We start from the raw sequence: 25662 nt of genomic DNA, 5'->3' as shown, positions 1-25662 counted from the left end.
GTGGCGAGCGCCTGTAGTCCCAGCTACTCGGGAGGCTGAGGCAGGAGAATGGCGTGAACCCGGAAGGTGGAGCTTGCAGTGAGCCGAGATCATACCACTATACTCCAGCCTGGGCGGCAGAGTGAGACTCCGTCTCCAAAAAAAGAAAAAAGAGAGTCTGAATGTTTACTTTGCTTTTTAACCTTTTATTTGAAAATGATTCCAAATTGACAAGTTGCGAGAATAAGAATAGTACAAAGAATACTTATGTACTTTTTTTTTTTTTTTTTGAAATGGAGTCTTTCTCTGTCACCCAGGCTGGAGTGCAGTGGTGCGATCTCAACTCACTGCAACCTCTGCCTCCCGGGTTCAAGCCTTTCTCTTACCTCAGCCTCCCAAGTAGCTGGGACTACAGGTGCATGCCAGCATGTCCAGTTAATTTTTGTAATTTTAGTAGAGATGGGGTTTCATCATATTGGTCAGGCTGGTCTCGAACTCCTGACCTCAGGTGATCCACCTGCCTTGGCCTCCCAAAGTGCTGGGATTACAGGCGTGAGCCACTGTGCCTGGCACTTCTGTACTCTTTATAGTTTTGCCTATTGTGAACATTAATCCTATTTGCTTTATCATTTCTCTCTACTTTATCTCTACACAACGTGTGCATACACATGGAATTGTTTTACTCTGAACCATTTGAGAATAAGTTGCAGATATCATCATTCTTTACCCCAAATGCTTTAATTTGTTCTCTTTAGAATAAGGACATTTTCTTAAATAACCACAACATAGTTATCAACTTTAGTAAATTTCACACCATATTGTTAAATATGGCATTTGATACTATATTCAATCTATTATTGAATTCCAATTTTTTTTTTATTTGAGATGGAGTCTAGCTCTGTCACCCAGGCTGGAGTGCAGTGTTGTGATCTCAGCTCACTGCAACCTCCGCCTCCCAGGTTCAAGCGATTCTCTAGCCTCAGCCTCCTGGGTAGCTGGGATTACAGGTGCTCACTACCATGCCCGGCTAATTTTTGTATTTTTTAGTAGGGACGGGGTTTCGCCACGTTGACCAGGCTGCTCTGGAACTCCTGACCTCAGGTGATTGGCGTGCCTCGGCCTCCCAAAGTGCTAGGATTACAGGTGTGAGCCACTGCACCCGGCCGAATTCCAATCTTGTCAATTGAGCCAGCAGTGTCTTCTATAGCATTTCCCCCTCAGTACAATCTAGAATCAGTTGTCATGTCTCTTTAATCTCCGCTAATCTGAAACAGCCTTATTTGTCTTTTATGACATTGACTTTTTTTGAAATTTATAAATCTTCCCTCCCTGTTTCTTTTTCTTTCTTTCTTTTTTTTAATCAATAGAGTATTTTTTAGAGCAGTTTTAGATTCACAGCAAAATTGAGCAGAAAGTACAGGAGTTCCCATATACCTCCTTCTCCCCTCTCACAGAGGTTCTGTCACCATCAGTATCCTGCACCAGTGTGATATATTTGTTGTAATCAATGAACCAGTATTGACACATATCAACAAAAGTCCACAGTTTACATTAGGGTTCACCCTGTGTTGTACATTCTGTGGGTTTGACTTCTTTTCCCTTTCCATTTCCCCTTCCTTTCCTTTCCCTCTCTCCTCCTTTTTTCACATATTCTTGGTATGTGAATCTTTCCCTTTTGTTAATAGAACATTCTTCATTTTGGATATGTCTGATGTTTTTTCACAGGGCATCGCATCTAGTGTTACACAATGCCTTTAAGCCCCTCACTGCTAATGTTAATTTTGATCATTTGATGAAGATGTTATCCATTTTCTCCACTGTGTAGTTACTGTTATTTCCCTTGCAACTCATCAACAGTCTGTGCGGATAACATTTTAAGACCATGCAGATATCTTGCTCCTCATACAAATTTTTCTCTAAATTTAGTATTCATTGTTAATTTTTATCTGAAGCAATCTTTACTATAATGTTTCAAAATGATGATTATCTACTCTAGCATTTTGTCTACATTTACTACTCAACGCTTGGCATTCTACTTTAAGAAAGAGCCTTCCCTCCCTTTCCCCATTTATTTATCTATTTAGTATCAGTATGAACTCATGGATTCCTATATTTTTAATTGTACATAATTCATTACTTAATTATTTTGGTGCTCAGATAACTCCAGATTTGGCCAGGGAGGCCCTGAAGAGTTATTTGAAATTAGTGACCAGCTGGGCACAGTGGCTCACGCCTGTAATCCCAACACTTTGGGAGGCCAAGGTGGGCAAATCACTTGAGGTCTGGAGTTCGAGACCAGCCTGACCAGCATGATGAAACCTCGTCGCAACTAAAAATACAAAAATTAGCCAGGCGTGGTGGCGGGTGCCTGTAATCCTAGCTACTCGGGAGGCTGAGGCTGGAGAATCACTTGAACCTGGGAGGCAGAGGTTGCAGTGAGCTGAGACCACGCTACTGCACTCCAGCCTGGGCAACAAAGCAAAGTGAGACTGTCTCAAATAAATAAATAAATAAATAATGACCAAAAGTCGATGCCATTTTGGTTGAACTTGGCCCTTTAGGTAGGATCAGGATGCTAGTTTTAAAGTATGTTTTAGAATAAACTGAAAAAAGACCTATTTGTTGATTTTCTCTTACAGTCTGGAGAAAAAAAGAAGGACGATGAAACAGTTGATAGCTTAGGTACGAATTTTTTTCTTTTACCTTTTGACCTAAAAAGCAGGGTTGCAAACTTAAATGCCTCCAACAGCCAGGCAGGTAATATGAATGGTCTGAGGATAACCATTACAAATTGGAAAGCACCTGGCTTATCTCAGCTACCTTGTACCCAGCTATAGCTGAGGGCTGTCTTGGGGGAATCTGGGGTTGGTATTGTGATGGCTTTCTTCCCTTGGCCCTACCCTGTTCCCTGCAACCTGAAGCTAGAAATTTAGAGTTTTATTTGAGGTTTTTGATTTTTAAACATTCATAACGAATTCAAATAAAAACTGTGTGGGTCTAACAGAATGACTGTAAACCCATTAGTAGTTGCAATTTCTGGAATACAGTAAATGGGTTGTGTAAGATATCATTGGTACCTTGTGTTTGCTAGAGGTTTCAGGTGTAACTTTCGTTGATGCTAAAGAGAATATCTATGCATATGAAAATGAGCTGGGTACAGTGGCTCACACCTATAATCCCAGCACTTTGGGAGTCTGAGGCGGAAGGATCACTTGAGCCCAGGAGTTTGAGACCAGCCTAGGGAACATAGCGAGACCCTGTCTCTAGAAAAATAAATAAATAAATAAAATAAGAAAATGAAAACCAGCATCCTAACCTTAGAACAGAGACTCTGTTTCTTTCCTAGGCCCCCTGGAAAAAGGACAAGTGAAAAATGAGGCGCTTAGAGAATTGAGAGTGGAGCTCAGCAAAAAACACCAAGCTCGAGAACTTGATGGATTTGGACTTTATCTGTAAGTGTTACAGTAATTTGGAACTTTCTGTAACATATTCTCCTGAGTAGAAAGCAGCTATTAAATAGCATTAACTTCTGTGATTGTTTCTTTTTTTTCCCAGGTATGGTGTGGTGCTTCGAAAACTGGACTTGGTTAAAGAGGCCATTGATGTGTTTGTGGAAGCTACTCATGTTTTGCCCTTGCATTGGGGAGCCTGGTTAGAACTCTGTAACCTGATCACAGACAAAGAGATGGTAAATTGTGATGAGCTATGTGAAAAACCCTCTGCTTCAAGCCTTTTGTAATTCTGTAGTAATATAGGGGTGGGGAAAGTTTTGGCAGGGCTTTGGTTATAGTTCTCCCTTTGCTGCGCCTCTGGTGTCTTTTCGCTGTTTTGGAAGTAAGTCTTTGTTTGAAAGACTGATGACTAGCTCTTTTTCAGTAGTTGCTGTTGGATTTGTATCCAGTTATACTAGAATATTTTTTTCATATTCATGTTTTCACATTTCAGTTCTATTGTGACTTGTTTTTGTTTTTGTTTGAGACGGAGTCTTGCTCTTTCATCTAGGCTGGAGTGCAGTGGTGCGATCTTGGCTCACGGCAACCTCTGCCTCCCAGGTTCAAGCAATTCTTCTGCCTCAGCCTCCCAAGTAGCTGGGACTACAGGCACGCACAACCATCCCCAGCTAATTTTTGTATTTTTAGTAGAGATGGGGTTTCACCATGTCGGCCAGGCTGGCTTCGAACTCCTGACCTCAGGTGATCCTCCTGCCTCAATCTCCCAAAGTGCTGGGATTACAGGCATGAACCACCACGCCCAGCCTATGTTACTTATTTTATAGACTGAATATTGTTGTAGTTTGTCCCCTAATCCCAAAGATGCTATAGGAAAGGTTTCTCTGCTGTCAAGAATTGTATTAAAACATTATGGCCAGGCACGGTGGCTCATGCCTGTAATCCTAGCACTTTGGGAAGCCAAGGTGGGTGGATCACCTGAGGTCAGGAGTTCAAGACCAGCCTGGTCAACGTGGTGAAACCATGTCTCTACTGAAAATATAAAAATTAACCAGGTGTGGTTGTGGATGCCTGTAATCCCAGCTACTCGGGAGGCTGAGGCAAGAGAATCACTTGAACTTGAGGGGCAGAGGTTGCAGTGAGCCCTGATGGTGCTATTTCACTCTAGCCTGGGCGAAAGAGCGAAACTCTGTCTCAAACAAACAAACAAACAAACAAACAAAAAATTGTTCAGGCCTCTTCTGAGCTGTCATGGATTCTGTAAAGATTCAGAAATTTGCTTATTAAAGAAATAATGTATACTAAGTTGTTCTTAAACTCCAGTCATTTTATTAGCCATTAGTAGAGGATATTGTCTATAGTGTTTATTTTGCTGTTCTTCAGTAGTTAATGGAAGCAACAATACACTTCCTTTTTTTGGCCTTAAAGTCTTGTTGATTTCCCCCAGTAGTGATTTATGTCACTAAATCTGTATCTGAAATCTTATCTTGGTTTACTTTTATTCACCTATGTGTAACTGCCTACTAGACTTTCATTGAAGGTTTGTTAAACAATCTCTGGATTCAAAATAGCAAAACCAAATTCCTTGTCTTGCCTACTAAATTATTTCTCCCAACTTGATAGACTTTTACTAGCATCGCTATTAACGACATCCAGTCTTGACACATTAGAGTCATACTTGTGTCTTCCTTTTCTCTTATCTGCCTTTATCTAGTCTGTCATGAGACATAACCATAGTTACTTTCTTGTATACATCTCTTTCTCTTGGTTTCCTTTATCATCTCAGTTGTCATCTCAAATTTGGATTACTTATAAGTAATGGGTACTTTCTATCTAGGGTTCCCATTTTTATACTTCCATTTCCAAGTCATCTCTATACTGTTTCCAAACTATTTCTTTCTCTTTTTTGTTTGTGGAGATGAGGTTTCACTCTCTTGTCAGGGCTGGTGTCAAACTCCTGGCCTCAAGGGATCCTTTCCCATAGCCTCCCAAAGTGCTGGGGTTGCAGGCTTGAGCCATTCCACCTGGCCTGTTTCCAAACTTATTCTTAAAGCTCCCATGTCATCATGTCATTCTCTTACTGAATATTTGCAGTGGTTCCCTATTGTATCCCATTATCTGTTGTACCCTAGGATGCGCTCTACCAGTTCAGTTTGATTTTTCTGCTACTTCCCAGTACATAGCCTCCCCGCAAACCAAGCTAGTTTCTTTGTCCTACTCACTCACAATCATCATGACTGTTTTGCCTCTCCTTATGCTATTACCCGTGTCTAGACTATTGTCTTCTTTCTCTTCCTCTCCCCTTTTGTATTCAAATCCTACCCATTCTCTAAGACTCACCTCAAATCCTGTCTTTTCTTTGGAGCCTTTCCCAACTAGGCTGTTCCTCCCTATTATGCTTGTAAGTCATATTCAGTTAATTGGACTGTCCTGTTTTCATTACTAGGTGTTCTAATAAAATTTTAGTGATAAATTCCTTTAGATAATAAAGATAGTTCCTGGATGTTTGTTTGAGAGAGAGGTCAAGTTATATTAAGTGTGTCCCTCTCTCTCCTGCTGCCAGCTGAAGTTCCTGTCTTTGCCAGACACCTGGATGAAAGAGTTTTTTCTGGCTCATATATACACAGAGTTGCAGTTGATAGAGGAGGCCCTGCAAAAGTATCAGAATCTCATTGATGTGGGCTTCTCTAAGAGCTCGTATATTGTTTCCCAAATTGCAGTTGCCTATCACAATATCAGAGGTGAGTGAATAAAGACAATGAAATACTATCAGACCCTGACAGGTGCATTGTGCTGTTTTCTGAACTATCTTCTTTCTGCAGATATTGACAAAGCCCTCTCCATTTTTAATGAGCTAAGGAAACAAGACCCTTACAGGATTGAAAATATGGACACATTCTCCAACCTTCTTTATGTCAGGGTGAGCTGCTTCCCTTGCTTGGATTTGATTAAGCTCTTTTGTGCACTAATCTGGGTTGGATTGTCACCCACTTGTATTAGCTACAGGAAAAATAATTTAGGGAGTTCTTTTTTCATGCTTATATTGTCTTTTTCTTTTATCCCAGAGCATGAAATCGGAGTTGAGTTATCTGGCTCATAACCTCTGTGAGATTGATAAATATCGTGTAGAAACGTGCTGTGTAATTGGTAAGAATTAACTACATTTTTTCTTTTAAGATTTATATTTATTATAAGTAACACATGTGAAAATAACCACAATTAGCTAGGGATGGTGGTGCGTGCCTTTAGTTTCCTCTACTCAGGAGACTGAGGCGGGAGGATCGCTTGAGAGCCCAGATGTCAGGGCAGCAGTCAGCTGTGATCATGTCACTGCACTCCAGGGCTGGGCAACAGAGTGAGAGCCCATCTCTTAAACAAACAAACAAACAAACCAACAAGCAAACAAAAACTCAATAATACAAAAGTGCCAAAGGTAACAAATACATACCATAGAATGTGAAAGCTCACTGATTAATCCTACTCTGAAGATTGTTTGGTGAACATGATTCCAGGATATTTTTCTGTGCAAATAGTAAAAATGTATGTGTAGGGGCTGGGCGCGGTGGCTCATGCCTGTAATCCCAGCACTTTGGGATGCCAGGGCAGGCAGATCATGAGGTGAGGTATTCGAGACCAGCCTGGCCAATATGGTGGAATCCCATCTCTACTAAAAATCCAAAAATTAGCCGGGTGTGGTGGCATGTGCCTGTAGTCCCAGCTGCTTGGGAAGTTGAGGCAGAAGAATCACATGAACCCGGGAGGTGGAGGTTGCAGTGAGCCAAGATCGTGCCACTACACTCCAGCCTGGGCGATAGAGTGAGACTCCGTCTCAAAAAAAAAAAAAAAAAAATAAATATGTATTACATGTTACGTCTATATTGTTTGCTTGCCAAAACTGTATCATTATACATAGTGCTATCTAACTTCCTTTTTTTTAACTTAATGATATATCTTTGCCATCTTTTCATGTTAGTACATTTAAACTTGTATTATTTTTGATGACTAGCATTTTATAGATGTACTTTTTTTTTTTTTTTTTTTGGTGACAGAGTCTCGCTCTGTCGTCCAGGCTGGAGTGCAGTGGCGCCATTGGCTCACTGAAAGCTCTGCCTCCCGGGTTTACACCATTCTCCTGCCTCAGCCTCCCGAGTAGCTGGGACTACAGGTGCCTGCCACCACGCCCGGCTAATTTTTTGTATTTTTAGTAGAGACTGGGTTTCTACTACTACAACGATTCTTTTTTTTTAAACATATTTTTAACAGTTCTTTTTAAAACAGAGACAGTTAAAATCAAAGGAAGCCAGGCATAATTACTAGCTTCAGTAGTCTTAGTGACTTGGGAGGTTGAGGCAGGAGATGGCCTCAGCCCAGGGTTCGAGTCCAGCCTGGGCAACCCCATCTGGCTTTAGACAGTGAGACCCTGTCTCTATTTAAAAAAAAAAAAAAAAAAAAAAAGGAAAAAAAAAGGCCAGGCGCGGTGGCTCACACCTGTAATCCCAGCACTTTGGGAGGCCAAGGCAGGTGGATCACGAGGTCAGGAGATCGAGACCATCCTGGCTAACATGGTGAAACCCCATCTCTACAAAAAATACAAAAAATTAGCTGGGCGTGGTGGCGGGCGCCTGTAGTCCAAGCTACTCGGGAGGCTGAGGCAGGAGAATGGTGTGAACCCTGGAGGCGGAGGTTGCAGTGAGCCGAGATCGTGCCACTGCACTCCAGCCTAGGCGACGGAGTGAGACTCCATCTCAAAAAAAAAGGCCGGGCACGGGGGCTCACAGCGCCTGTAATCCCAGCACTTTGGGAGGCCAAGGCGGGTGGATCATAAGGTCAGGAGTTCGAGACCAGCCTGGCCAACATGGAAACCCTGTTTCTACTAAAAATACAAAAATTAGCTAGGCGTGGTGGCAGGCACCTGTAATCCCAGCTACTTGGGAGGCTGAGGCAGGAGAATTGCTTGAACCCAGGAGGCCGAGGTTGCAGTGAGCCAAGATCATGCCACTGTGCTCCAGCCTGGGCAACAGTGAGACTCCATCTCAAAAAAAAAAAAAAATCAATATATATGAGAAGAATAATTATTAAGAAGCTTCTTTTTTCTTTCTTTTAATAATCATTCGAGGTGAACTCCTTAATGAATTGTGTTTTTTTTCCTTAATATATCCATAATGCCCAGTAAAATTTCTGCATACAGTCAATAAATGTTTGTTGAATTCAGCCCACCTACCTTAAAAATCAGAGCGGGGAACATTAGATATGACAAAAAATAATACGCTAGCTTTCATATTATAGCCAGTTCAGAGGAAGTGAAAAGGAGAAAGAAGGATGGAGAGAAGAAAAGGAAACTGAGGACCTGAGAGAATGAGACAATCTTAAGAGTAGAGTGATGGCAAGAATCTCCTACTTGTTTAGTCCTGGCTTCTTTTGCTTTTATGTCTTGATGTGACTTGCTCCCTTCTGTACCTGTCAGTCACAGTCTCTACTTGAGCGGCAGCATTTTATTTTATATATATATGTATATAATATATATTATATATATGTATATATATACACATATATAAAATATATGTATATATACACATATATAATATATGTATATATATACATATATATTATATGTATATATATACATATATATTATATGTATATATGCATATATATTATATGTATATATGCATATATAAAATATATGTATATAATATATATTATATATGTATATATATTTATATTTATATATAAATATATCATATATAATATATATTATATATAATATATTATATATAAATATATTATATATAATTATATTATATATAAATATATATAATTTATATATATTTATATATATATATTTTTTACATATATGTATACTGCAGTATAGCATAGTTAAGCTTTGGACTCTGAGCCAGATTGCCCAATTTTAAATTCTGGTTTAGATACTAACTAGCTGTGTAATCTTGGACAAGTTACCTAACCTTCTGTGCTTTAGTTCCTTCATCTGTAAAAGGAGAATAATAAAATGTGAGCCACTGCGCCTGGCCCATAAAGGAGATTTTTTAAAGTGCAGGGTTTCTTTTGCTTGCTGTACCTTTCCCCCTTTAAGTTACTTGTGTTAACATGTTCTCATGCCACATTAAAAGGAATATGTATATATACATATGCAAGGTTTAATGGGCTGCTTGCTTTACAAAAATAGGATATTATATACATACTCTGCATTTTGGTTTTCTCATTCAACAGTATTTCATGAAAATCCTTCTTAGTCTTGGTGTAGCTCTTCATTCTTTTTAAAAAAAATATAGCTTAGGCCAGTGCAGGGGCTCAGCACTTTGGGAGGCTGAGGCAGGAGGATTACTTGAGCCCAGGAGTTCAAGACCAGCCTGGGCGGGTGGATCACCTGAGCTCAGGAGTTCGAGACCAGCCTGGCCAACATGGTGAAACCCTGTCACTACTAAAAATATGAAAATTAGCCGGGCATGGTGGCGGATACCTGTAATCCCAGCTACTCAGGAGACTGAGGCAGGAGAATCGCTAGAATCCGGGAGGCGGAGGGTGCAGTGAGCCAAGGTCGTACCATTGCACTCCAGCCTGGGCGACAAGAGCGAAACTCTGTCTCAAAAAAAAAAAAAAAAAAAAGACACCAAAAAAACACATAGTTTTATTGAGGTATAATTTGCATACCATAAAATGTTAAGTCTACATTTCAATGAGTTTTTGTAAATTTATGCAGTTGTAACCATTACCATAATCCAGTTTAGAATACTCCATCACCCCAAAAAGTTCCCTCGTGTGTATTTGCAGTCAGTCCCATTCCCATCCCCCAGCAACCACTGCTTTGCTTCTTTATAGTTTTGCCTGTTCCAGGAATTTCATATAAATAGATTCTTGCAATATTTAGTCTTATTGTCTGGCTTCTTTCAGTTAGCTTTTTTTTGAGACACGGTCTCTCTCTGTCACCAGGCTGGAGTGCAGTGGCGTGAATTCCTGGGCTCAAGCTTTCTCCTGCCTCAGCCTCTGGAGTAGCTGGGACTACAGGCATATATCACCACACCTGGATACTTTTTATTTTTAGAGACAGGGTCTCACTATGTTGCCCATGCTGGTCTCGAACTCCTGACCTTAAGTGATCCTCCCACCTCAGCCTCCCATCCATTAGCATGCTTTTGAGGTTCATCCATATTGTAGCATGTATCAGTAGTTCCTTTTATTGCTGAGTAGTATTCCATGTTTGGATATGCCACATTTTGTTTATTCACCAGTTGATATAAGACAGATGGCTCTTATACTTTCTTCAGCTGAAATCTTTCACTTCCACTTTTTAAGACCAATGAGAATAGAACTGCTTTGATTCTTGTGTGAGACGGAAACTTAGAGCGCTACCTTTTTTTTTTTTTTGGAGACGGAGTTTTGCTTTTGTTGCCCAGGCTGGAGTGCAATGGCGCGATCTTGGCTCACCGCAACCTCTGCCTCCTGGGTTCAAGCGATTCTCCTGCCTTAGCCTCCTGAGGAGCTGGGATTACAGGCATGTGCCACCATGCCCAGCTAATTTTGTATTTTTAGTAGAGACCGAGTTTCTTCCTATTGGTCAGACTGGTCTCGAACTCCTGACCTCAGGTGATCCGCCCGCCTTAGCCTCCCAAAGTGGTGGGATTACAGGCGTGATCCACCACTCCTGGTCAGAATGCTACCTTTTTAACCCTTGAGGTACCTGTTTTTTTTTTTTGAGACAGAATCATACCTCTTTTTTTCCTTTTTTTTTAAGATGTTGTTTTGCTCTATTACCCAAGCTGGAGTGCAGTGGCACGATCTCAGCTCATTGCAACCTCTGCCTCCCAGGTTCAAGCGATTCTCCTGCCTCAGCTTCCTGAGTAGCTGGGACTACAGATGTGCGCCACTATGCCCGGCTAATTTTTGTATTTTTAGTAGAGACAGGGTTTTGCCATGTTGGCCAGGCTGGTCTGAAACTTCTGACCTCAGGTGATCTGTCCACCTTGGCCTCCCAAAGTGCTGGGATTACAGGCGTGAGTCACCATGCCCAGCCTGGGTACCTCTTTAGAAACCTAGGCTCCAAGGAATATAGTTTGAAAACCACCGATGTAAAGCATAATCTAAGAAAATGTATATATAGGCCAGATGTGGTGGCTCATGCCTTTGATTCCAGCACTTTGGGAGGCTGAGGCAGGAAGATCGCTTGAGCTCAGGAGTTTGTGACCACCCTGGCAACATAGGGAGACTGTCTCCACAAAAAAATTTAAAAATTACCCCGGCTTGGTGGCATGTGCCTGTGCTCCCAGCTACTTGAAAGCCTTATGTGGGAGGATTGCTTGAGCTCAGGAGGTTGAGGCTGCAGTGAGCTGTGATTACACTACTGCTTTCCAGCCTGTGTGACAAAGCAAGACTTTGTCTCAGAAAAAAAGAAAGAAAGAGACTGTGTATATAAATGCTGTATCCAGGTGATATTAAAAGGAATAAAAACTTGCAGTGTTTAAGAATACTTTTTTTTTTAACCGGAATGTGTGACAGATGAAATATATTTCCCAAGGGAATATTTCCCTTTTGTACAATTTGGGTGTTTTGCCAGGACTTTAGAGGGAATGGGTTATGGTTTCACGCCCATTTGGTGGAATGCTATCTATTTTAATGGACTTTTATTTTTACCTTTCTGATTATTCATTTTTTTGTTTGATTTTTAATCAGGCAATTATTACAGTTTACGTTCTCAGCATGAGAAAGCAGCCTTATATTTCCAGAGAGCCCTGAAATTAAATCCTCGGTATCTTGGTGCCTGGACACTAATGGGACATGAGTACATGGAGATGAAGAACACGTCTGCTGCTATCCAGGCTTATAGGTGATTATCTATAGGTGGTGAGGTAGAGCAGATTGCTGTGGTTAGGAGCCTCTAAGCCTGCAAGTTGCCAACCTTGATTCTGCCTTCTTAACAACCTGTCTTTTCCATTTCTTAGACATGCCATTGAGGTCAACAAACGGGACTACAGAGCTTGGTATGGCCTCGGGCAGACCTATGAAATCCTTAAGATGCCATTTTACTGCCTTTATTATTATAGACGGGCCCACCAGCTTCGGTAAGCCTGGTCACTTGACAATGCGTCTGATATGGGAAGGGCTAATAACTTTTTTTTCCTCTTTTGATAGCTATTGACAAATCACAGTGGATGGTTTTGGCTCTTGGGGATCTGAGGTTAAAGTTGCTGAAGGCTGTTTGGTTATTTTCATTTAGTATATTTCACTAATGGGTTAATAGTATAATTATGAACACAAAGTAATCTATTATATGGAGCATCAGGTTAAAGACCAGTTGTTGCATAGATTTGAAATAGTGGTGTACTGGTTCCTCAAAAGAGAACTTCAGTTTCTGTAAAGTCTTTGCTCAGACTGCCTGTTCTTCTTTCTCAGACCCAATGATTCTCGCATGCTGGTTGCTTTAGGAGAATGTTACGAGAAACTCAATCAACTAGTGGAAGCCAAAAAGGTACCTTAAATTGGGTCCTGAAGAATTTGAGTGGAAATCTGCTGTTTAGATGAAGGTTGGGCTATCTGTGCTCTAATTTTTCCCTTATTCTGATCTAGGTGCATAGGAAAGTCTGAATATTTATAGATACATAGTCTGAAAGCAAAGCTGGGCCAAGGTCATCAGTGGGAATGTCAGTGTGTAGCCTAGACCTATCAGAACTAGTAAAAATGTCTTGCATTCTATAAATCTGAACTTCTGGGAGGCTTGCAGGGTCTTAACCTTCATATGATTTAGTTGTGACACATGGGACAATGGTCAAAATGACCAGTTTATTTTTTTGACAGTGTTATTGGAGAGCTTACGCCGTGGGAGATGTGGAGAAAATGGCTCTGGTGAAACTGGCAAAGTGAGTGAAAGGAGTGAAATGCTATTGATATTTCTGTTGGCTTCTCTGGGATGGTGGGTCCTGCATGGTCTAGAGCCTCCCATACACCCATCATTCTACATAGGTGTAGGGATGTAGCAGGGTGTGTGAATGCTGGTTTGTGAATGTAGCCATCTTGTTCCTAGAGAATGCCACTTCTGGCCAGGTGCAGTGGCTCATGCCTGTAATTCTAGCACTTTGGGCGGCTGAGGGAGGTGGATGACCTGAGGTCAGGAGTTCAAGACCTGGGAGGTGGAGGTTGCAGTGAGCCGAGATCGCGCCATTGCACTCCAGCCTGGGCAACAAGAGCAAAACTCCATCTCAAAATAAAAAAAATAAAAAGAGAATGCTACTTCTCTTGAAGGAGGGCCGTTGCTTTCCTATTAAAGCAAGAGATCAAGATTGATTTGAAGAAAGGATAACATTTTTGTGTCAAACTACTTTCAGTATTAATTTCCTGCTAAGGGCCAGAAAAATTAGGAATAACTCAAATAGTAGGCAAAGAGGTTCTTAAATGTAAAGAGGTTCCTGTCTGGATTCTTAGGAAAAAAATTGAGTTGCTTGGTATCTTTTTTTTTTTTTTTGTAATTTATAGATAGGATCTTGCTGTGATGACCAGGTTGGTCTTGAAGTCATTGGTCTCAGCCAGATTAGAGAGTAGCTAGGATTATGGCCCTATGCCACCATGCCTGGCCACTTGTTATCTTTTTTTTTTGAGACGGAGTCTTGCTCTGTCACGGAGGCTAGAGTGCAACCTCTGCCTCCTGGGTTCAAATGATTCTCCTGCCTCAGTCTCCCGAGTAGCTGGCATTACAGGCGCTTGCCACCACACCTGGCTAATTTTTGTATTTTTTAGTAGAGACAGAGTTTTGCCATGTTGGCCAGGCTGGTCTTGAACTCCTGATCTCTGATGACCCACCCGCCTTGGCCTCCCAAAGTGCTGGGATTACAGGTGTGAGCCACAGTGCCCAGCTTTTTTTTTTTTTTTTCTTTTTTTGGAGTCAGAGTCTCATTCTGTGGCCCAGGCTGGAGTGTAGTGGTATGATCTTGGCTCACTGCAACCTCCACCTTCCAAGTTAAAGCAATTCTCCTGCTCCAGCTTCCTGAGTAGGTGGGATTACAGGCATGTGTCACAACGCCCGGCTAATTTTTCTACTTTTAGTAGAGATGAGGTTTCACCTTGTTGGCCATGCTGGTCTCAAACTCCTGACCTCAAGTGATCTGCCCTCCTTGGCCTCCCAAAGTGCTGGGATTACAGGCATGAGCCACTTTACTCTGGGTATTACTAGATAATTTTTGCAAGGATGGTTTATCTAGCTTAGATATTAATATTTACTGACTCTCCTTCCATCATTAGCAGAGTAATGATTCTAAGCTTTGATAACAGTAACTATCACATCTAATACTATTCTAGTTCCAAGAGTGTCATTTATGTCAAAATTGATACTTACCTATGTATTGTTTTTTTTGGTCTTATGTACTTTTACTTTTTTTATCACTAAGTTGCTTTGGGATATCATTGGTATTTAAAGATCAGTTTCTTTTGTAGGCTTCATGAACAGTTGACTGAGTCAGAACAGGCTGCCCAGTGTTACATCAAATATATCCAAGATATCTATTCCTGTGGGGTATGTATCATACCATGAGAATTGTACTGCTGATATTATTACTGTCACCTCAGTAATTTTGCTTTCCCTTTCTAGGAAATAGTAGAACACTTGGAGGAAAGCACTGCCTTTCGCTATCTGGCCCAGTACTATTTTAAGTGCAAACTGTGGGATGAAGCTTCAACTTGTGCACAAAAGTGTTGTGCATTTAATGATGTGAGTATCAGTTCTTTAATAAAAGGTTTGAATTTTAGGCTAGAACATAAGATATTTAAGTGGAAAGCCTACCTTGGCCAGGCAAGCGGCTCACACCTATAATCCCAACACTTTGGGAGGCTGAGGCAGGAGGATCGCTTGTGTCCAGGAGTTCAAGACCAGCCTGGACAAAAAAGGGAGAGCTTGTCTCTACAAAAATTAAATTTTGCCAGGTTTGGTGGTGCATGCCTGTGGTCCCAGCTACTCAGGAGGCTGAGGTGAGAGGATCACTTGATCCTCTGCAGTGAGGTCGAGGCTGCAGTGAGCCTTGATCACACCACTGCACTGTAGCCTGGGTGACACAGTGAGACTCCATCTCAAAAAAAAAAAACAAGCAAGCCTCCCGCCTCCTTGATCTGTGGAACTTGTTTAACAGCATCTTAATAACTTGTTTTCGAGACTAGCTTTGGACATGTTTTGAAACATTTCCCTGACTTTGTTGCAGACCCGGGAAGAAGGTAAGGCCTTACTCCGGCAAATCCTACAGCTTCGGAACCAAGGCGAGACTCCTACCACCGAGGTGCCTGCTCCCTTTTTCCTACCTGCTTCACTCTCTGCTAACAATACCCCCACACGCAGAGTTTCTCCACTCAACTTGTCTTCTGTCACGCCATAGTTGGCTACTCTCAAGCCAGCACATTGTTAGACCCATCTTAATTAAGCCTTACCTCCATGTAAAGAACAGCACGTCTGTTCCAAGGACCTCAGCTCTTCTTGTTTCTACAGATGGCAACAGCTCCATAGGGACAGCTTGTATAATTACCTTCAGAGGCCAACTGACAGAATCCTGGCAGGAACAGACATTATCTTGCCAGTTAGAAGTACTTCTGTCTCACTTATGTCCAAAGAGTGGCTATAGATCTTGGCCTTCTTCCCTGAATGCTTTTTTTTTTTGGCCCCCAAGAAAGTCCCTTTTATAGCACTTTAGCACAGGCAATGCTACAGGAACAAAGTTTCAATGCTGCTGAGAGTGAAAGAAAGGAGGAAAGTCTGCCACTCTACCCTGAGCTGGCAGTAGGGCACTGAGTACCCTAGGAAGAAGTCAGAGCAATGGATACAAATGACCTTGCTCTTGGATTTGCTGAGCATGATCCCTATTCTGATGTCAGAGATTAGGTTTAAATGGAATAGAGCTATCCATTTGTTCTTACTCTCTAGGGAGACAATCTTCCAAAACAGTTTTGGGGGGGTCTTCTAAAGCTTTCAAATTGGAAGTAACTTTATTCAACTAGAGTTGAATAAAAGAAGGGCAAAAATAATCTCACAGAGCTTGGAACTGCTGATAGCCCTTACTGAGGGCAAAAGATGGCTATATTGTTAGCTATACTCCTACCAAAGCAAGCAAGGAGATAGGATTATAGATAATTTCACGGACATTTGGAAATAACATTGGTGATTATACAGACAAGAATAAACTCACTTCAAGCTGGTCTGTTTTAATAAATTTTCAACGTAATTGTCTATTTTTTTCCCTCCCATCTGCAACAGAATACATTTTTTTCAGCCTTTATCTAGATGAGGTAAAGGGAATCATTCTTATGGTGCTCTTGGAGAGTTTCAGGCCTGTGCATGTGTGTACAGCAGGAGGTAATATGCTATAATGTCTGCTGTAATATATTTGCACAGTAGATGCTATGGATCATTCTGAGCTCAGGGTCCAGACTTTATTCTTATTCCCAGAATTTTGTGTTACGTTTTTACCTCCTAACATATGACACTTCATCTTATATTAAGGAAGGTTTAGAATATCTAATACGACTTGAATTCATTTGTTACTAAGCCTTCTCAGGCAAGCTGTATACTAGTTACTGGTCTCCACTGCCATGCCTTTTCAAGGTTCCCATGGTCCAGAATGATGTTTGATTCTTAATTTTTCTGTCCCTTTTATAATTTGTTTTAATGATTTTGCTACATTTGGAATTCAATAAAAAATGTGAACAATAATATCTTTAATATAACTGTTTTTGTGTGCATAGAAATCATATAAGTAAATAAAAAAAAACAACAACATGAGATTACATAGGTGGTTATAATACAAAAGTGAGAAAAAAGCTAGTGTCTGAGTATTGCATCCTGGATATAATTCCTGATATATGGTAAAGCATAAAAGAGACCTATTTCTTCAGGAGAGTAGCTGACCCACCTCAGGGCCATGACTGCTCTTCTCTTTCCCCACAGCCTTAGTACTTTTTGCCAAAAGGCCCAGATTTGAGTAAAGGGGAACGCCGTGAGCGTAGGATCCGGGCATAAGGGCTGCAGTCTGTTGAGCTTTGGCAGGTTGGTGTTCGGGGAAGTAAATTTCGAAGGAATGGTTTCTTCCCTGGTGGTTGTTGGTTTGGTTGCTGATTTTCCTGGTTGGTACCAAGGCGCTTTTTGGCAGAAACCTGGCCTTGGAGTTTCAACACAGTATGATACTGCTCAGCAATACATGCTGCCTTCTTCCGAAGGTCCAGTTTCACTAGCACCATGTTGTTCTGCAGTTCAGCCAGAGTCTGGTCCTAAGGAAGATCAATAAAGTTATAGAAAACACTTTTGTCTGGTATATTAGAGAAACGAGAGGGCTAAGGGTAATACATACCATCCATTACTAGTTACTAACAACTGTTTCTTCAAAGATTAAAACTCTTTAAGGTCGGAGCTTATAACTGAATAAGGGGACATTTTCTGAGAACAAAACATAAGCAGTGCTGAATAGGACATCTTCTAACACATAAGGTAGTATGAGCTTGAGTAAATTTAATTTCTAAGTGCCTCAGTCTCTAAATGTCAAATTAAATGTTGAGTTTAGTTTAAGATACACAATTTTAACATTTTAATCTCTTTGGAATCAGGATGCATCTTACTGATGAGAAATTGTTACTTTTTTCTTAGTAGTACATAAAATAATGGTTTCTTATAATCAGTAGCATCTTAGATGAAATATGACAGTAACTACCTCCCTAAGGTGGTTGTGACAGAAAATGCCTATAAATTACTTAGCACAGTGCCTGGTACTTAGTAAATGCTTAACAAAGAATAGTTATTTTTATTTTGCAAATATACTGCTCTCACTATAAATTCAGCCTAAAAATCTTTACCTTTTTCTTCTGGTCCTCTTTCCTTTCTCACATATACACTGGAGTGGGCTGGTAGGACAGAAGTGGGTATATAGTTTGCCCTAACCTGTTTGATTAAGATGTCATCACAAGTGGTCAAGGCTTGACGAAGTTTTCCTGCCCCAGTGCTGTGGCAACAAGCTCTCTCTGCTGATTGGAGAGACTCACCAAGTTTCTGAAGCTCTGTCCGCAACAGCCTTATATTCTGAAAAAGGGGAAGTAGGAATCATATTGTGGCCAAGAGCAACCAGGATAATGATCTGGAGGGGTCAGGTAGCCATTTGAAGAGAAGTAAAATTAGAAAGGCTAGTCAGCTGAGTGAAATAGCCACTCTCCAGAACTGTGCACAAAAAACATCTTGTCTTCACATGAACCAGTGATAGAGTGTTGGATGTGGGAAATTGCCTTAGGTAAGAGTTTGGTAAACAGAGAATGGTGGTAATTACCTTCTGGCCCTCTTCTAACTTCTTGTCCACATCAATGGTGAAGGGCTTGGCTGAGGGTGGTGGTTCTAACATTTTCTGATACTTATGCAACTCTGAGGGAAGGAAACAGGAAACTTAAAATATGTGGGGTTTTTTTAGCCTTGGACTAACCTCTTTAACTGAGGTAACAGTAGCTTGCAGCAAATATAAAAAGTGAGGCTATGTGTATCCTAGATTGAAATGTCAGGGGGATGTAGCTTGCAGTTTAGGAAATTATGTTAGAGCAGGAGTTAGAAGGCCTGGGTTTAAGTAACAGCTCTTCCCTGAACCACTGTTATGTTTCCTGCCTGTCTCTTTCCTCACCTTCAGTGGTAGAGTTTAGCTCTGCTTTGCACTGCTGTAATTTAGCTTTAACCTCCTGAAGCTGCTGGGTGGAGGCAGAAGCTGCCAACCTTTGTGACCGCCGTAGGGCCAATTCAGACCCTGATTGCTGATGGGCCACTGACTGTTGTCTGGCTTCCTGCAAGAGAGCTTCTAGCTCTTCAATCTTTTCATCCCGCTCCTAAGAGGGAAGCAGAGAGCACAATTCTTTGCAGAGCCAGAAAAATATTGCTAAGACAGATGACTGAACAAACAAAGCACTTGTGACACTGATCCCTTGAAAACCTGTTGTTAGCACTTAATACGATTTCCTGGCCAACTAAACCCTTAATCAATTCACCAAACATAGATTGAACCCAAAGCACTATGGGGAATAGAGAAAAGGGAGTTATATATTCCTGCCCTTACTGGAGTAGTTTATAAAATCTCTTTACTTCAGGCAAGCTAGTGATGGAAATCTGAGCAGCTAATTGGAGCTGGCTCAGGGCAACTCACCTGAATCTCTTCTTGGTAAAAACTTGTCAGTGACTCCTTGAGGATATTTAGTTTTTCTTCATACATTTCCTCCAATAGTTCCTTTTGGGTGTCCAAATGTTCACTGTCAGAAACAGAGGAGAAAAGAGAGGTAAGTGAAGGTTCTGAGGAGTGAACTTGGGGAACAGATCTTGAGGCACAACTCCACCTAACTCCTTACTTCCCACCCTCTGTCTCAGGTGACAGAGCAAGAGGGGTCACTCAGCTAGTACCTGCACCACTGTTCCCGCTGTTGCATCTGTTCTACCATCTCATTGCAAATTTCATCTCGGAGATGCATCTCCAGCTGTAGCTTTTCCTGTCGTTCCTTCAAAAGCAGTGTCTTCATGGCTTCCACAACTTGTAGGAGCTCCTAGGAGAGACACACATGTCAGAGGTCATCAGATGCTCATGCCCTCAGAAGGCACAAGCCCACCTGGAAGGCACCATGGAAAAATGTGTAGCTACTAAGCTGCTACACTAAAGCTTTCTTGTATTCTCACCTCTTTGCCATACATGGAGATGTCAGCTTCATTTTCAATATCATCATCAAGGCCTGTGTCTGCCTTAGCCCCTTTCTCTAAGCTGGGGGATACCTGAAGACTATGTTCCTTGATGAACGAGTGCAGGGATGGGAATCCCAGTTGCATAGGTGGGGCATGCACAAGCTAGAGGGAAAAAAAATATCTTACTTGACTCCATAAGTAGTCCCTAGGAGCTTTCTTAGAGTTACCAGTTCCAAGTGCGCACACCCATCACACCTCTAGCTTCTCACCTGGCTAGCAATGGCTGAGAACTTGGCCACATGAAGAGTTTCATCATAGGTAGATGCACAGGGATTCACATTGACAATCATGCAGGAACGGCCTCGGCCTGTGAAGAAACCTTGGAACACTCGAGTCAACTTGCTGTCACGGAAGGGAACCAGGTTCTGCTTTGACCTGGCAGAGAATCAGAGATAATAGAGCTGTGAGCAGAACACCAGCCCTTTGGGTATCCTAGCACCATCCCCAGTGGTGTCCAGGAAGTCTCTTAGCAAATTGCAGAGCCCAGGAATTATAGTCAAAAGCTCACCGGTTCTGCTGGTTTTGACGAAGGGCAGCAATACAGCGGCCCAGGGTGTGTAGAGAGGTGTTAATGTTTCCTGCTTCCTTCAACCGTTCACCACTCTTCTGATCTTTGCAGCGCTCTGAGCCAGCCAGATCACAGAGTGACAGCCTAGAATGATGCACAGGATCTGACATAAGGGCCTCACATGTTATGAGCCTTCTGGCCCTTTGTATAATTCTGGAGAGGGGACGGCCCACTAAGAATCTCTGTACCCAAAGAAGGAGAACACATAGTTCCCCTGAGGACCTCCTCCATGCTTTCCCAACTATCATTTATGGCCAAGAAGCCCAAATTTCTAAATGGATAAACTTACTCGCTGATCTTGGGGACTATATCTCCTTCCCCCTGAAGGTGTAGGATCCTGATTGAGAAGATGCTGTGACTGGAAGTTAAGAAAAACAAAAAGTCATTGCACATTTTCCATGACCAGGCAGAGGACTAATGTTTCCTGGAACACAGTGAAGAGTTTATTCTTACAATCTACTCACCTGCGGCTGGAGTTCTGGTTGAGGTGGGTGCTGGCAAAGCTCTGGTTCTTACGACCCACTTTTAGGAGCTTCCAGGCCTCCTCAGCATCTTGCACATGAATCCAGTTGAGATCTGGGGCCAAAGGAGAGGGGTGTAAGATGGGAACATCCAACTCTTTTGCCAGTCTCTCCCCAGTTGCCCTCCAGGGTTCATGCCAGCTTTCCCCATGTTCCTTTACCTTTCACATAGGGATTGCCATTTTGATCCTCGCATAGCCGCAAAGTCTGCCTCTTGCGCTGTTGGCTAGGCGGTTCTAATAGGTCATAAAGCAGTTCGTTGTAGATCTCAAAGAATGAGATCCAGATGGAGAAGCGAATGTTTGCCGGGACAGGTAGTGGGGCAGTGTCTGGCTGTGCCCATCGATGACTTGTTTCTGGAGAAGAAGCCAATGTATAGGGCATCAACCTAGAGCAGTTCACCTCTCTTTTGGCCTGCAGGGGCCTTGGAAGGCAGACCTTAGATTGCAACCTCTGGTCTGTACTCCTGGCAGCTATTAGGAACAGGGAGTGAGTTCCTACTATTTTTTGGCAGAGCCCAGTCACGGTACATACCATCCAGCTGGCTACTGCTGGTACACTGACTGATAGAAGAGAGCCCAGCAATGCCACTGTCGAAGCTGGTGCTGGTACCTATCCGACTTTCGATGTAGACACTCCTCTTCAAGGAAGTGGACAGCTCCTCCTGGAGGGGCACAGGGAGAAGGTAAGCACAAAACTTCCCCGAGATTTGTACCCCCTACCCCCACTGCCATGGATACCAATGCTTTACCTCTTGGAGGCCTCCATTTAGCAGGGACAGCTTCTTCATTTCCTCCTGTCGGATCTGCTTGCTGTCTAGCCAGATTACCTCATTGGAGAGCAAGGGCTTCAGATCAGGTGTTGGATGAAGTTGGCCTTGGAGGCTATTGAAGATCAGCGCCAGGGACCGGGGGAGAATCCCTCCATCCTTGATGGTACCTGGAGGCATATGAAAGATGGACAGCTGAGGCAAGTGCCCTTCTCCCCCTAACTCAGAGTCTCAAAAGGTAAAAACAACACCATTACCAGCCAATCAGGAATCCCGTGAAGGCTTACTACTCACCTTGAATCGTGTGGGTTTTCCCTGAGTTAGTGACTCCATATGTATAGATGAGCCAGTTCTGCCCTTTGAGTACATCCTTTACCATCTCCTTCACAGTTAGGTTGAAGAAGGATGCCTGTCCCACTTCTGGCCCAAAGATCTAGAGAGAGACCCAGTTTTTTAGAGGCCTCTCCTTCATCTCCCACTTGCCTCCTGTGCAGAGCCAGCAGATATATTCCTTCCTGAGTGGTTGGCTCTGGAGACCACTCAAGCAGCTTCTTCCTGCAATGCTGCTGGCTGTTCCCTAAACACTGAGGACTCAAGCACTCTCTGCTAGTCCATCTTTCCACCAAATCAACAAACACTTAAGGAATGCTATGCCCTAGGCCTGATGCTGCACACACAATGGGGCAATATAATGGCCCACAAGTATGGGCTTTGGAGATACATGGATCTAGACTCAGGTCCTAACTCTACTAGTGACTAGCTACATGGCTTCAGCAATATTACATTCATTGAGCCACACTATCCTTGTGAGGAAAATAAGGAAATAATGATAATAACAATAGAATTTTTCAGAACTGATATACATATGTTACTTGACACATTGACTAACACATAACTAGGGCCCTCAAAATTGTAGGTGTGCATATACAAGGAACTCACAGTCAGGAAGAGAAGCTTTCCCTCTAAAGAGGGAATAAAGTTGCCCTTACATGTTGGTCTTTTGTTCACAAACCAGTACCCTCCATACCTGGGAAAAGGTGAACCTGTGTGTGGCTTGGCCAATTCCCCGTTCATTGCTCTTCAGGGCAAAAGAGTCCTTGGGTGCTTGTAGAACAAGGGTCTCCACATTCTCAATACGGACACAACCCTGAGAAGGGAGAAAATACAGTTGTCACAGAAGGCATTCCTGGGAATCTTTTGTACTGCATCATTTCACCTTGAATCCTCCCTTCTCAGACACTTACCTGATCTTCCTGTCGTTCCAACTCTGAAGGTAACAAGGGCCTAACCCTCAAGTATACTTTCACCTTCTCCATACTGTCCTCAGATGGAACCTGTGGCAGAATCCCAGCCCAGAACCACAGATTAATTTCAGCAGTTACCTCTGAGCAAATGGGCAAACAGTAGTTTCTAGGAACTATGATAACACTACCCCATTTCACCTCAAATGTCTCTGTGCAGCTACTCTTTGGTTCCACAATCATTCCAACCCACATGGACATTTTTACTACTTTGTCACCCTTCCCTGTCTCGTCATTATCCTGCAAATGTGGCTTGCCACACCGATGATCTGAGTTCGAATTTATTGACTGGTATGAAAATTAGTATGTGATATTAAAGCAAAGCAGAGGCAAACACTTGAATTTGAGTCCCAATTCCATGACTTAGTAACTATGAGACCTTGAATTATGAGTTCTTGAAATTCTTGGCCTCAGTTTCCTCATCTGCAGAATGGGGTTAATAATAGCACCTATGTCATTCATTCAACAGATACTTAGAGGCTGGGTGCAGGGGCTCACGCCTATAATCCCGGCACTTTGGGAGGCCAAAGAGGGTGGATCACCTGAGGTCAGGAGTTCCAGACCAGTCTGGCCAACACAGCAAAACCCCATCTCTACTAAAAATACAAAAATTAGCTGGGCTTGGTGGTAGGTGCCTGTAATTCCAGCTACTCAGGAGGCTGAGGCAGGGAGAACTGCTTGAACCCGGGAGGCGGAGGTTGCAGTGAGCAGAGATTGTGCCACTGCACACCAGCCTGGGGGACAGAGCGAGACTCCATCTCGAAAACAAAAAAACCCAAAAAACAAAAAAAACCCAGATATTTAGAGTGTCTACTATGGCCTAGGAACCGAGAAGCTCTGATAGTCCATAGTGAGAGACATCATCAAGGACCATGCTCTCATGGAACTTTATAAGTCTCTAAGAGAAACTCTATAAGAGCACAAAATCTGACAATGTATGTTAATGTTTAGCATAGGACCTAGTACAGTGTTTCTCAACCAGGGTCATTTCCACTCCAAGGGCCATTTAGCAATGCCTGAAGTGCCTGAAGACATTTTTTGATTGTCACAAATGGGAAGGCACTACTGACATCTAGTGGGTAAATGCCAAGAATGCTATTAAACATCTTGAAATGTACAGGACAGATCCCTACAAGAACTGTCTAGCCCCAAATGTCAATAATGCTGTAACTGAGAAACCCTGGCCTAGCAGGAAACCTACAACAAATTGAAGCTATGGTGATACTATTAAAACCTGAACATACATTCCACTTACATAATGCCTATATGACCTTGTGCAAATTATTTAGCACAACTGGGCCTCAAGGCAAAGAGAGATAACTATTATTCCCTGAAAGATTAACTAAGAGCATGCATTTGAGGCTATTTCATTAATGCAATGCAAATTATAGTTCTTCTGGACACACAACTCAATTTTTTTTTTACTTGTCATGCCCTTAATTTTTTTTTCTTTTTTTCTTTTCATAGCCATTTTGTCCTAAATGCCCTTAATTTTGAATTGATCTCAGACCTTTAGGATTGCTAGTCTTTGACCTCATACTACCCTGTATGGACAATTATTGGCCTGAGGATATCACTTTCCGCCCCAGCCACTCCCCAGTTCCTTTACCTGCTGCTTGTCCTCTAGGGAGGTAGAGACGACAGAGCAGTCTGATAGCAGGTTCTTGCGTACCACAGACCCCAAATCTGCAGCTGTGGACTCAAACATGGGAGAAACTACGACATCGTCATCGGACAGCAAGCCCGCTGGCGGAGAAAGGATCCCTTGCGACATGACGGCAGGGGCAGCCTAGGTCTAAAAAGAGACCAAAAAGTGGGCAGGGAGAAGAACCTTTAGGGACAGAAGGGGCCGCGAATTTTAGGTAATAAGTCCCTTGCCCCAGGACACCGTGTCCCGCTTCCTACTTCTTTTCCCCTCCAATTATCGGCAAAGGGGAAGGGAATGAGAGAAGTTCACTTAATGAACAATTGAGAGAAGTTTGAGGCGGCATTTCTGAACGCGAACAGAAGTCCACAGACATCTGGCTCCAAAAGCAGAAGGCTACGCCTAAAGTAGGGCACCTCGCCCGCCGGTGCTGTGGAGGTGGTGTCAGGATCCCTCGGCTCCTTCTCTAACCTCACCCCAAGGACCACCGTGAGAACAGAGATGCAGCATTAAGAGAAAAACAGATGGCTGCAGCTCCGATTTCTTAAAGCCTATTCCGCGCGGGCAAGAGCTGGTAACCCGGGCTCCAGCACAGCCGCACACTCACCCGAAGACGTGCCACTTGCTCCTCCTGGGATACTGGCTTACTCACACCTAGTCGCCGAAGCTGGACTTTCGCAGCCGCAGAGCACAACTCC

General features: G+C 42.6%; 2 protein-coding genes across 2 annotated transcripts in view, besides 1 other annotated feature; one reads left to right on the top strand and one right to left on the bottom strand.

The window, feature by feature from the left end:
- Positions 1-17124, top strand: part of CDC23 (cell division cycle 23) — a 25674-nt gene extending 8550 nt beyond the window's left edge. The window contains exons 4-16 of the mRNA NM_004661.4: positions 2619-2661; positions 3326-3431; positions 3535-3667; positions 5992-6169; positions 6251-6348; positions 6494-6575; positions 12117-12270; positions 12386-12505; positions 12837-12912; positions 13239-13300; positions 14868-14946; positions 15022-15141; positions 15626-17124. Coding sequence (NP_004652.2) covers positions 2619-2661; positions 3326-3431; positions 3535-3667; positions 5992-6169; positions 6251-6348; positions 6494-6575; positions 12117-12270; positions 12386-12505; positions 12837-12912; positions 13239-13300; positions 14868-14946; positions 15022-15141; positions 15626-15796 — 1422 coding nt within the window. The 3' untranslated portion in view covers positions 15797-17124. The remainder of the gene's footprint in view (positions 1-2618; positions 2662-3325; positions 3432-3534; positions 3668-5991; positions 6170-6250; positions 6349-6493; positions 6576-12116; positions 12271-12385; positions 12506-12836; positions 12913-13238; positions 13301-14867; positions 14947-15021; positions 15142-15625) is intronic.
- KIF20A (kinesin family member 20A) lies at positions 17051-25662 on the bottom strand. The gene is made up of 19 exons (NM_005733.3): positions 25572-25662; positions 24929-25114; positions 23263-23352; positions 23046-23165; positions 22313-22451; positions 22001-22188; positions 21784-21913; positions 21411-21605; positions 21193-21304; positions 21018-21086; positions 20669-20812; positions 20370-20535; positions 20098-20262; positions 19828-19967; positions 19577-19679; positions 19064-19262; positions 18722-18813; positions 18343-18480; positions 17051-17678 (listed from the first exon to the last, which is right to left on the bottom strand). The coding sequence occupies exons 2-19, from the start codon at positions 25091-25093 to the stop codon at positions 17361-17363; spliced, it is 2673 nt and encodes an 890-aa protein (NP_005724.1). The 5' UTR covers positions 25094-25114; positions 25572-25662; the 3' UTR covers positions 17051-17360.
- Positions 24129-24258: an enhancer, noted in NCBI's record as "active region_23195". NCBI's record gives its function as "activates an Ori minimal core promoter by ATAC-STARR-seq in GM12878 lymphoblastoid cells {active_cell/tissue: GM12878}" and the evidence as "EXISTENCE:reporter gene assay evidence [ECO:0000049][PMID:35858748]".

Source organism: Homo sapiens, chromosome 5 (assembly GCF_000001405.40).
Source record: "Homo sapiens chromosome 5, GRCh38.p14 Primary Assembly".
NCBI lineage: Eukaryota > Metazoa > Chordata > Mammalia > Primates > Hominidae > Homo > Homo sapiens.
Note: the sequence above shows the minus strand (reverse complement) of the source record. Positions and strands in the feature narration are given on the sequence as shown.

Bases quoted from the DNA above. Each gene is read 5' to 3' on its own strand.
- KIF20A (NM_005733.3), bottom strand. From the start codon at position 25,093: ATGTCGCAAGGGATCCTTTCTCCGCCAGCGGGCTTGCTGTCCGATGAC. The intron at 21,087-21,192 runs GTGAGTAGATTG...CTTAACTTCCAG, and splicing joins AACCAGAACTCCAGCCGCAG to TCACAGCATCTTCTCAATCA. The intron at 20,536-20,668 runs GTGAGCTTTTGA...ATTCTCTGCCAG, and splicing joins CGTCAAAACCAGCAGAACCG to GTCAAAGCAGAACCTGGTTC.